General features: G+C 32.5%; 1 long non-coding RNA gene across 7 annotated transcripts in view; it reads left to right on the forward strand.

Moving 5' to 3' along the window:
* The window catches only part of LINC02327 (long intergenic non-protein coding RNA 2327), a 138,162-nt gene that overhangs the window by 91,794 nt on the left and 32,766 nt on the right, over positions 1-13,602 (forward strand). For 5 of the 7 annotated variants that reach the window (NR_184195.1, NR_184194.1, NR_184190.1 and 2 more), the window contains one exon: positions 7,912-7,966. This is a non-coding gene — a long non-coding RNA (long intergenic non-protein coding RNA 2327). Of the gene's footprint in view, positions 1-7,911; positions 7,967-8,863; positions 9,199-9,360; positions 10,141-13,602 lie in introns of those variants that run through there. The other 2 variants (NR_184200.1, NR_184198.1) reach the window with 2 other exon arrangements.

Genomic DNA, 13,602 nt, shown 5'->3' on the forward strand with positions numbered 1-13,602 from the left:
AAGAAATAAATAATTTGACAATATATTAATAGATCATCAAATAAGGAAAACCTAATAATATTGAACTATATGTTCCAGATAGTAGCAACATAAGACATGAAAGTTAAAAAAAAAACGAGAAAGAACAGAAATATAATGTTGATACATTTAATCCAAAATCACAATTGTAGTTTGTGCAGATATAAGCATTAGTAAAAGTATTACAGAAGGCAGCAAACCAAAAAAAAAAAAAGAATCCACAAAAGTAAATAATGGAATATGGCAATAAAAATGCTAATTTTTATATCTAAAGCCTTTGGACTTGAACATTAAAGAGAAAATGGAAATAGAAATAATTAAATGAGACAAAATACAAGAAGGTAAGAAAAGGAGAAGGAGGAGGAAGGAGAGAAAGAGGAGATAGGAAAAGTTGGAAGAAATATAAACTTTTTAACACCAATAAGTACCTTGTGGATGACAAAATTGATGAACTGGCTTGTTTAGTGAAAATAAAAATGAAATAAAGTGTAATGATTAATAGTAGATTCTCTCTCTCTTTTTGTTTTTTTTTGTTTTGTTTTTTGAGACAGAGTTTCGCTCTTGTCTCCCATACTAGATTACAGTGGCGCGATCTCGGCTCACTGCAACCTCTGCCTCCCCAGTTCAAGTGATTCTCCTGCCTCAGCCTCCCGGGTAGCTGGGATTACAGGCACCGGCCACCATGCCTGGCTAATTTTTGTATTTTTAGTAGAGACGGTGTTTCACCATGTTGGCCAGGCTGGTTTCAAACTCTTGACCTCAGGTGATCCACTGTCCTTAGCCTCCCAAACTGCTGGGATTACAGGTGTGAGCCACCAGGCCCGGCCTAAGAGTTGATTCTTATTAGGCAACTTTTCTTCTCCAAGCTTATGTTTTATGAATCTTGCAACAAGTATGATAATAATAATATGATCCCTATCAAAATTCCAACATGTTATTGCAAAAGTGAAAAAAAAAATCCTAAAATTTATGTGAAACCTCAAGGACTCTGAGCAGCCAAAACAATCTTGAAAAAGAAAATCAGAGTGGTCTCACACCTCCTGATCTCAAAACTTATACAAAGCTACAGTAATCAAACCAGTGAGGTACTTGCAAGAGACAGACACATAGACCAGTAAAATAGATGAGAGAGCCCAGAGATAAAACACTCACATATACGAACAAATGATTTTTGACAAGGATGTCAAAATCATTCATTGGGAAAAGGACAGGCAAAAGAATGAAATTTGGCTCTTACTTTGTACCACATACGAAAATTAAAATGGATAAAAGCTCTACATATAAAAGCTAAAACTATAAAACTGTTAGGAGAAAACATAAAGAAAAAGCTTCATGATGCTGAATTTAGCAATTATTTGTTAGATATTGCACCAAACTCACAGGCAACAAAACAATTAACAGATAAATTGATCTACACCAAAATTAGAAACTTGGGTACCAAAGGACACAATCAACAGAGTGAAAAGGCAACCCACAGAATCAGAGAAAATATTTGAAAATTATATGACTGAAAAGGAGTTAATATCCAGAATATATCAAGAACTCCAGAAGTGCCTATGGCTCACAAAAATCATAAAGTATCCCTGTTAGTAAGTCTAAATGGGGTATTTTTAAGAATCTTCTCAAATGATTTTTGAAGAAGGTGGACCCCAGGCCACATTTGAGAAATTGCACTCTTTTTTATTTGTCTTACTTTTGACTCAGATAGATTTATTTAAAAATTGTTACTTAATTTTCTAAAGAAAAAATTATTAAGAACATTATTTCTTTATATAGAAAATGATCCTAATTCAAAGAAAGAATATATAACTTATCTTTGTTACAGTTAGGAATAAAATGAATAAACTACGTTAGAAGATCAAACCAAAGAAAGTGACAAGTAACTTCATTCGTAAATTGAGATATTAAAACTTTAAGTAACATTTTAGCTCATATCACAGAGTAAAAAAAATTAAATTATGTATATTTCCATTATGACTGAATAGAATTTAGCACAGCCAAGAAATGCTAGTATAAAGTAGGAGCAATTATTAATATAGTTCACATTAGTAGGAAAGATAATTCAAAAAATGTATAATTATTTCAATAAATGATGAGAAGATGATTTTTACCTGTTCTTAATTAAAACACTAAAAATTATGTTTGGTGTATTTCATTCTCAGCATGACAGAGTGTATATTTAAAACCTGTAGATAACATTATACTTAATTGAGACACAATATGGTTATTCTCTTTAAAAATAAGAATAAGTTAAGAATATGTTTTCTACTCACTCTTATTTCATAATATACCAGAGCATACTGCGACATAAACTATTCAAAAAGGAAGATAATTAAGAAACAAATATAGGGAAGTAAAAAATACAGAAAACTTTCTACAAATAAAATTATTACATACTTAAACATGAAAAAAATCATTTCAAAAATTTCCAAGGCAATACAATGATAATTAAAACCTCCATAAACAGCTCAGTATTATGGTATGAATGGAAGTGAACAGTGCCTGGAAACAGAAGTACTAGAAGTTGGTAGTTCCACTTTTTTCTGCCCACCCATTTCCAATTTGTGGTGTGTTTGTTTGATGTACTTTGAACTAGATCATGAAGCAAAGATGTAGCTAATGCATAGGCATCTCCAAATTATCAACACAAAATTAATCATCTGTCCATATGCCTTGTGGAAGAGGGGCAAGATCTGTCCCTGAGTGTTTACTCAATTACATACAATGCTTGGAATGTTTCCCTTCTAAAACTCATGTTAAAATTTAATTGCCCTTGTAACAGTATTAAGAGGTGAGAACTTTGAGAGGTGACTAGGCAATGAGAACTCCAGCCTCATGGGTAAGGGTAAGTTTGGATAAGTTTGGACTTCTCTTGCCCTCTCTTGCCCTTCTGCCTTCTGTGATAGGATGGTGCAGCAAGAATGTGCTCACCAGATGCTGGCCCCTCAATCTTTGACTTCCCAGCCTCTGGAACTATAAGCCAATAAATTTCTGTTCATTATAAATTACCCAGTCTCAGTTGTTCTGTTATAGCAGCAAAATGGACTAAGACACACATACTCATAAAAGATACATGTACATACACTCACAAGTACATACATACACTAATTAGGAAGGCACTGATGTTAAACACTCTATGGCAGAGTTTGGCAAACTTACGCAAAAGGCAAGATAGTAAATATCTTGCTTTGTGGTTCAACAGGCAAAAATGAAGATATATAGGTACTTATAAACAAAAGAGAAAAAATTTCCCCAATTTTTACTGATAATTTCAAAATGTAATAATAATTATGTACTTTCTAATAAATTGGATCTGTGGATAGTATTTTGCTGAATTTTGGTTCAAAATCAGTATTCCTCATCAAATCAATTTCACATATTTGTCTGTTAAAGTTGATCTGTAAGAAAGTGTTACATATTTTATCTTTTAAAATATCTTTTTGCCCAGATAAGTATTGCCAAATACTGATAGCAGTCCACTAGTTATGGCCCAAATTAAACATTTTTCACTTATAAGGCATTTATAGAATTGTTAGATTTTTCTGTTGATATTTGCCCTTCAGCATTTCATTACATTGCAGATTAGTCACTTCCAGTTAGAAGTTAGGTGGAAACTCTTTAGCTGCACAGGTAAAAGGCATTTGAAATATATAAATTTCCTTTGCACTTGCATTGAAGCCTGAAAAACACTGCTGGAAATATAGTCTGAGTTCATAAAATACAACCACTAATTTATTTTTTTCTGAGAATGGATATCTTACATCTTGTTTTAACTTGTGTCCTTGTGGGAAATGTATAAAGCAGCTTCATTTACTTGTTATCCAAACAGTATTAGTTGTCTTAACTTTACCATAGTATATTTCTCATTAACTAACCACTGTTTTCCTTGTAATTTTAGCTTGAATTTATTAATAAACACTACCAATTCTGCAGCAAAAGCTTATTTCCAAAGCCATGCCATATTTGATAATATTGGTTGAGTATGCTTCTTCTTATTAAAAAAATTCAATCTTGACCCTGAGGTTAAACAAAACCACAATAAAACTTTACCACTACTAAGCCATGGAATTGTTGTAAACATTGACATTCAAGTATTTGTGTGGACATGGGTTTTTAAAAACATTTGGGTGAATACCTAGGAGTGCAATTGCTGGATTATATGGGAGGTCTATGTTTAATTTAAAAGAAACTGCCAAACTGCCTTGTAAAGTGGCTGTATTATTTTGCATTCTCCAAGTAGTGAATGAAAGTCACGATTGCTCCACATCCTAGTTAGCATTTCTTACTGTTCACTTTTGGAATTTTAGGCATTCTAATAGATGTATAGTGGTATCTCATTGTGGTTTTGATTTGCATTTCTTTAATGAAATTATGTTGATCCCCTTTTCATGTGTTTATTTGCCATCTCATATATCATTTTTGAGTAAAGTGTCTGCTCAGATATTTTGCTATTTTAACTTGATTTTTATTGTTGAGTTTTAAATTATACTTACATATGCTGAGTGCAAGTAATTTATCAGGTATGTCATTTGCAAATATTTTATCCTGGCCCATGATTTGTGTTTTTATTCTCTTCTCAGTCTTTTACAGAGCAAAACTATTTAAGTTTGCCAAGGTACTACTTCTTTTTTTAAATTCAATCACATTTTTTTTTATGAATTGTGCTTTGGGTATTTTATCTAAAAAACCATCACCAAACCCAAGGTCATGCAGATTATTTTTCTAGAAATTTTAGTTTTACATTTTAAGTTAGGTCTATGATCTATTTTTAGTTAACTTTTGTTTAAGATGTTAAGTATGTGTCTATACTATTCTTTTTTGCATATTCATATCCCATTTTCCTAGCAACATTTGTTGAAAAACTATCCTTTCTCCCCTGAGTTACCTCCCGCTATTTGCCAGCAATCAATTGATTATATTTGTGTGGACTCTTTATTCTGTTTTATTGTTAACATACATCTATACTTTTTTAAATAACACACTGTTTTCATTACTGTAGCTTTATAATAAGTCTGGAAATCTGGTAATGTGAGTATTCCAACTTTCTTCTTTTTCAGAATCATCTTGGCTATTTTAGATCTTTGCCTTTCCATATGGAGTTTAGAATGAGCTTGCTTATACCAACAAAAAAGCTTGTTTAGATTTTGATTGAGATTGCATTGAATCTATAGACCAAATTGGAGAGAACTGACATCTTAACAATATAAAGCCTTCCAATTTATGAACATTGTATATATCTCCACTTATTTAGATATTGTGTGTTTCTTTCATCAGTGTCCTGTAGTTTTCTGTATAGTAGATTTATTACTTAAGTACTTCCTTTTTTATTTGTGCTGTTGTAGATGGTTGATGACTTTGAATTTCATACTCTAATTGTTCATTGCTAGTATATAAGAATAAAATTGATCTTTTATGTTTATCTCTATCCTGTGACCTTGCAATTTTCACTTATTCGTTCCAGGAGATTTTTGTAGTGTCTGTAAGATTTTCTACATATCTAATTATATCATTTGCAAATAAAGGCTGATTCACTTCTTTTCCTCCAATTTTATGCCTTTTACTTCTTTATCTTGCATGTTATTCTTGCTAGGAATTTCAGTATAATATTCATACCTTGTTTTTTAACTTACTATTTTTTTCTCCTTATGTCCTTAGTTTGTTGAACAACTGTTCTCGCTAAAAGGCTAATAGTCTTAAATTTATTTTCTATAAACATTTGTATTTGTCTGTTGCAATCAAATATGATTTAATTAACTCGCCATTGGTGAATCACATTCCTTGCTTGGCTAACAAATGAACCTCTCAGAAACTGTAGTTTTATGCTCATTTCAATGTGAGTGTGTGTGTGTGTGTGTGTGTGTGTGTGTATAAAAATGCTGCCGTGATAATAAATTCCATTTTGCATTTACTAATTTTTCTAACCATCATGGTGAATTGGGGCTGCTATGATGAATACTCGCTCTGGTAATGTCAACTTATATTTTGTACTTTTAGCATAGTTATAGTGTAAATAAATTTTATTTTACCAAATTCAATAACAAATCCACACTCCACTATATCTTAAAAGCTTTTCCTTTTTTTTGTTTTGACATAATGGATATGCATGGATAATAAGAATAATAGTAAAATGTCACAGTATGCAGACACATGTGATGCCTGAAATGCTGTCGATTGTTAACTGTAACACTGGGATTTGTAGTGTCCTGGGCATCACTGTGAAACACTGAGAGAGACACATGCAGTCTCTGGAGCAATATCTCTACTTTTGTAGCTCAAAACAGCCTTAGGTAAGTATATATGTGAATGACCATTGCTATGTTTCAAGAAAACTTTATTTGTGGACACTGAAATATGAATTTCATATAATTCTCATATGTCATGAAGTATTAGGCCTCTTTTATTTTTTTCAAACCATTTAACAATGTAAACACTGTTCTTAGCTTGCAGACCCTGGAAAAACAAGTAGTAGAGAGGATTTGGCTCATGGACTGTAGTTTGCTGACCCCTGCTTTAGCGCTGTAAAAAATCTAGAGAAGGTGGAGAGGGGGCATAAATCTTTTATAAAAAGACATCAAACTAGGGCTAGGCCAGTGTCCTGCCATATGTTCTGAGAAAGAGCAAGTCTGCGTGTATATGTGTATATGTACACATATATATGGATGAGTATGTGTGTACATATTTAAGTGAATGAAATTGTATGTATTTGTGCCTACATGTGTGTATTAATATGTGCATATATATGAGTGTATATATGTTTTTGTGCATATTTCTGTGTTTATGTGTGATTAAAGACTCAGGATTAAATCATGTATTTTTTCTTGTAAGATGCATATATATAGATATTTGACTGTTGATAATGTAGAGATGCCAATTTTAGCTGTATCTTGGCTTCAAGATCTAGTTCAAAATTATACTTTGTTACTCAATTACAAAAGAGTCGAGATATGTCTCTTTCAGTAACACTGTTCCTTTTACCAGCTAACCAGAAACTGAATTGCCACATAACTACTCAGGTAATTACACTGCATTTAGTGCCAAAATTTAAGCATCCATGCCACCAAGACATTTTTCCTTTTTTTTTTTTTTTGCTTTTAATTTCATTTAAAATCTTGTATTAAAAGATATTGCTCTTCTTGGGAGTTATGCAACTTAATTTCTTATCTAGTTCAAATTTTATTTTTCTTTTCTAAGATGCTATTCAACATTTGAAGTGTTGGATACATTATGGATAAAGGGGGAAATATCAACTATAACTTTGTTTTTGCTGTCTGTTATGACTATACATGGGGGTGGGGGTAGGGTGGACAGGTCAGCACATATTTCTTGCCAATTCCATATGTGAAATTCATGGGATACTCAGAAAATATTGTGTGCCTCCATCTACTCAGCTGGAAAGTAGGATTTTAAAAAATGGCTTGCAGAGAGAATATGGAAGGTATGGTGTGTGGCAATTGAAGAGGACAGTAGGAGATTCCCAACACATTACGTATCTCAAATGATGAGCACTTCAAGTAATATAACAAGGAGCAAATGGTTATTATCAAACACTGTCTTAGACAACAAGAGGGTTTCCTACTGTCTGTAGGGATGAGACAACATAAAGTACTGTTGGCTCCAAGATATTTAGAAGTCATTTTATCATACAATTTACTTCTATCCTATAAGCTTCCAGAAACATTTGAAAGGAAAGAAAGCCTTTGGCAAAGGAACCGTCACTGGATCCATCATGTGTAAATTATTTTCCTAATTATACAATTTTTATTATTTCAACATCAAATTATTCCATATATGTGGGCTGGTATTTTGGGGAAAAACTGACTATCATTTGATATTTTATTATATTATTTCCAAGAAATATTCTAATGATTGTTTTTCACTTTTTTGAAATTACAGCATTTTAAAAAGGTTGTACATCTAGCAATACCTAACAAAATAGGAAATCAACTTGGTAAGTAATGTATTACAACTTTCATTTTTAATACGCATTTTGCCTAGTTCAAATAGGACATTTATACCTATAATTAAATCTTAAAGAAACTCCTGTCTTCCAAACACATGTATGTGTCTATTCTCTCCAATGGTAGGAAAACAAAATCAGACTCACACAAATTAAAACTAGAGTGAACATATCAATCATTATTTATAAATCCAGAGAATTAGAACACAGAATGTAGAAACAGTATATTAGGTATTACATGAGAATTTTTTTAATCCTGTAGTTATGATGGTGAACTGTCTTTGAATGTACAATTTATGGCTACTAGAATTGTTTTTATGCTAAAATTACTGATAATGTGAATCCTCAGTATCTGTGGAAAATAGATTCTGCATTGCTACTTAAGGTAGATGTTTACTTCTTTTCCTATTTAGAGCTGAAAGTCCTTTCTGCTTTAGTTCAGGCAGGCAAAGCTAAATAAAGTTAATAATGTTTCCCTGCCCACCTATATTTCTTAATTACCTGTGATTCTATGTACCTTGGTAGTATAAGAAGGTTGCACAACTCCACATTTTTGACATCTTGAGAAGAAAAGAAGTGGAAGCAGGAGATCCAAACAAAATCCATGCTAGATAACTACTAAATTGATCAGACATTTGGTGTTTTGAGTAAACTGTGGGTAAATTGCCCTCTTTAACCCCAGATCGGACCTTTGTAATCAGCCACCATTTCAGAAACTTACATGACCCAATTACTGTGTCTCTGAGTGTCTTTCTTTAAATACCTCAGTTTGACTTGAAAAAGAATTGGAGATTACAACAAAAATTAAATCAATATAAAAGTATTTAATTTATATTTGAATACTTGATCTTAACTGAACCTAATTATGAGTTTTCTTTCTGTTTACAGATAAGGACATTTTCTCCTAAAACTGTTAGATTTTATCATCTGTATAACATACATTTTTTCATCTCTATAGTATGAAAACATCCATATGGATATGCATCATTGCTTTTCAGGTGTCAAAATTTGTGGATAAATATATAGTTTATAAGAAGCAAATAAGTGGCAAATAACAAACTGTGACTATTAAAGTAATATGAAATTCAAATTCAAATAAAAATACATGTGTGACTAATAAATAAAGCTGATAGCTCAGGGTTCAAAGTAAGAAAGAACTAGTTATATTAATGAAGTCATTTAACTTAGCTATAAAACAATAAAAAGCAAGAACTTATTGAAAATTATAACTCTGTTTAATTTCTTGATAAATCAGTCAACATCGTTTCTACTGAAATTATCTCTATTCCCAACACATTATTGTTTCCAGTTCACATTATGCTCAGGAAGGATGGATTTTCATCACATAGAATGGTTTAATTTGGTTAATTGTGTTTCTTTCTCAGTATACCATCTGTTTGAATCAGGCTTAAGTTGAAGATATCTGAAACTACTCTGGCTATTTAAAGCAGAAAAGGATTTAATACAGGAATTAAGTTCATACAAATTTATTGGAAGGCCGGGATAACAGGATCCAGTACCTCAGAAGTAACCCACCCGGAGAATTTCTACTTCTGTTGTAATTAAGAATCTGTAGTACTGTCACTGCAACCATACGCTCTAGAAATATATTGCTTTAGGTATGCAACCCATAGATTAGAAAACTATGTACTGTTGACTCCAGAGCCACATTACATCTGTTATATTGGCACAAGCAAAAATGGATGCCTGGAGGCCTTTCAATATTCAGAAATTAATTATTGGGCACTGGGATCTGTGAAAATGCTGTTGTAGAAAAATCCAGGGCCCCTGTGATTATGCTGACCAACAGAAACGGTAGACCTGTGGCTTTCAAACTACCCTCCTTTCAAATATCACGTTACTATATTTTATTGTCCAAACCTAAACCACATTCTGTGTTCATCTGCAAAAGAGACTCAGAAATGTGGATTTTAGCTTATTAGCATCAAAAGTGTAGGAAAGCTTAGTATTGATGGTGGTGTGGACAGTGAGCACAAATCCACCAGAACTCCCACTATTCTTCTGTTTGTCCATTTCCTGACCATTCATGCTTCTCTTCCTGTACATACATTTCCAAACAATATTATCTACAACAATCAATTTTCACCCAATCCAATGCAATGATTCTCCCATACAAATAAAACCTACTTATACTGTTCCCAAAAGAAGCCAAGCTTCTATTAGTCATAGACTCCTCTGGATGACGTCAGTTCCTCTTCCAGTGCACTTATCTTCCCGTCTACATATTTAATAAAGTTATCAAAAAACAACACATACTATGAAGTGGGAGAATGGAATATAAAAAAGGAAATATGTCTACATAGAATAAAATACATAAAGAAAAAGGAAGTAAATATGGCATTTGTTTATCTGAATGGTCATAAGATGATGATTGGTATTCACAGCATCCTTTTTCTACTCTGAATTTCATGCTCCTGTTATATTCTTAGCTCTATGGCATTAGATGGTGAGTGGGTTAAAGCCAATCTTCATTCTTTATGGGTCTGAGCCACTGGTGGCCTTGGCTATCTTGAACTGCTGAAATTGTACATGAATTTTTAACTCTGGACATGGTAATTTGATGACACATCCCAACAAGTCCTGTAAAACACAGATTCTTACAAGCTGCCTGACACACACTTTAATACCAACCCTGAATCCCCTTAAAACCAAGATCAATCTTCTATCCAACAGAGTAACCTCTTTTTTTCTCCTCTTTTTTAAAAAAAGTTTATGGTCATAAGGACACCCAAATAGCCTGTTAGTAGTTTTAACTTCCAGTTGTAGGAACCAGTGTGCTATCTTGTGGAAATATTACTTTCTTGGAAATTATAGCCTCTAAATCAAAAGAGGTCAATGTTGTGGGATGAAGAAGGAAATTTTTGCAAAAGAACACACCCTCAATTTCCAGATCATATATTCTCATTACAGGAGAAAATGTACTAAAATGAATGTGCTCCATTTTGGCTTTCAACACCTATTAAGTTGGTCACTCATCACTGGGACTTCTGCTGATGCTGCCACAGAAAAGTCCAGTGTTACCATGAACATGCCAATAAGCAGAAACAGCAGAATCAGTGGGAGCACAGACCTACCATGCTCCTGCTTCCAAATCTCATGTTAGTTTCTCATATTGCTTGAGCATGGATAACATCTCAACCCATCTGTAAAGGAATCTTGGAAATATAACACGTTGAAAGGAAGATGGAATGGATATTGCGTGCCACTCTCTCCAATCCCATATGCCATCTAACTTTACTGATACAGCATTCTTTTTAACTCAGTTCATGGGTCATCCACTTCTTCCTTCTCCTTGCCTTATTTATTAGTTAATTTGTTATTGTTGTTATTTGTGATAATAACACTTAAGATCTACTCTCTGAGTAAATATTTAAGTATGTAATACAATATTATTAACTATAGGCACTACATTGTAAAGTACATCTGTAGAACTTATTTATCTTGTGCAACTGAAACTTTGTACCCCTTTCCTAATATCTCTCTATTTCGCCATTCCCTAACCCCTGGTAGCCACCTTTCTACTCTGTTTCTGTGAGTTTCACTATTTTAGATACCTCATATAAGTGGTGTCATGCAGTATTTGTCCTTCTGTGTCTGACTTACTTCACTTACCATAATGTCCTTCAGGTTCATTCATGTTGTTGCAAATGGCAGGATTGCCTTTCTTTTTAAGACTTAGTCATATTTCTTGCCTTTATGTACCACATTTTCATTATCATTTTATCCATTTATGAACTTTTATGTTGCTTTCATATCTTGACTGTTGTGAATATGCTGAAATGAATGTAAGAGTGGAGATATGTCTTCGAAATCCTGATTTCTATTCCTTTGGATATACAACCAGACATCAAATTGCTGGATTGTACGGAAGTTTTATTTTTGTTCTTTTGAGGAATCTCTACACCCTTTTCCATAGCGGCTATAGCAATTAATAGTGCCACCATTAGTACAAGAGTTTCTTTCTCTTCACATCCTCACTACCAATTGTTATTTTTTAAATATTAGTCATTATAACAGGTATGAGGTTTGAATTTTATTTTATTGTGATATTAATTTGCATTTCCCTGATGACTAATGATATTGAGCATTTTTTCATATACTTGTTGGCCATTTGTACATATTCTTTGAGAAAATGTCTATTCAGTTCTTTGCCCATTTTTTCCGTGATTAAAAGTGGGATATGAAGTCTTCAACTATTATGGTATTGCTATCTATTTCTCCTTCAGAGCTGTCAATATTTATTTTATATAGTTAGATGCTCTGATTTTGGTGCATATATATTTATTATAAGTTCTGGTCAAATTGACAATTTTATTATATAATGACCTTCTTTGCCTTTTGTGACAGTTTTGGACTAATATCTCTATTTTGTCTTATATAAAAAGAGCCACTCCTGATCTCCTTTGGTTACCATTTGCATGGAGTATCTTTTTCCAGTGAAATTCCTTTACTCTCAGCCTATTTGTGTACCTAAATGAAAAGTGCATCTCTTGTATGGATTATACAGTTGGATCTAATTTTTTAACCCATTTATCTATTCTATTTCTAATTGGTGAGTTTAATTCATTAACATTTAAAGTAATTATTGATAGCTAAGGAATTATTATTGCCATGTTGTTAATTGTTTTCTATTTTGTAGTTCTCTTGTTTCCCTTATCCTCTCTTGTTGTCTTTGTTATTTGATAATTTTTTAAGGTTACATACTTCTATTCCTTTCTATGTATTATTATTACTCGTTGGGATATGCTAGAAGTTTTTCTTTGTAGTTACCATGAGGCTTGCATAAAACTTCTTATAATTATAATTGTATATTTCAAGCTGAAAACAACTTAACTTCAATTACATACAAAACTCTATACTTCCACATCCCTCACATACAGTTGATATTATTGATGCCAGAATTTCTTTGTTTTTATATTATTATTCATTAAAAGTTTTTGTGGTTATAGTCATGCTTAATACTTTTGTCTTTTAATTTTTATGCTAGGGTAAAGTGGTTGCATTATTCTGTATTCGTCTATATATTTACGATTACCATTGAGATTTATACTCTCATGGGTTTTCATGTTGCTGTTTAGTGTTCTTTCATTTCAACTTGAAAAATCCACTTTAACATTTCTCTAAGGCATCTAGTGGTGATGAACTCTCTATTTTTGTTTGTCTGGGAAGTCTTTATTGCTCCTTCATTTTTAAAGGACAGTTTTGCTAGGTATAGTATTCTTAGTTGATAGTGTTTTGCTTTCTTTCACTGACTATATCACTCTACTATCTTCAGGCCTGCGTGTCTCTTTTGAGGAATCACTGATAGTCTTATGTAAGCTTTCTTGAATGTGATGAGTTGTTTTCTCTTGCTGCTTTCAAAACTGTCTCTTCATCTTCGATAATTTCATTAATGTGTCTTACTGTAGACTTTTTTAAGTTTAACTTATTTGAGGACTTTGGGACTTCAATATCTGAATGTCCATTTCCCTTCCTACTTTTAGCAAGTTTTCAGTCATTAATTCTCTAAATTAGCTTTCTATTCCTTTCTCTGTCTCTTCTCTTTTTGAAATTCTCATAATGTGTATTTTAGTTCACTTGACAGTGTCCAGTAAGTTCTATAGAGT

This window comes from Homo sapiens, chromosome 14 (assembly GCF_000001405.40).
Source record: "Homo sapiens chromosome 14, GRCh38.p14 Primary Assembly".
In the NCBI taxonomy this organism is placed as follows: domain Eukaryota; kingdom Metazoa; phylum Chordata; class Mammalia; order Primates; family Hominidae; genus Homo; species Homo sapiens.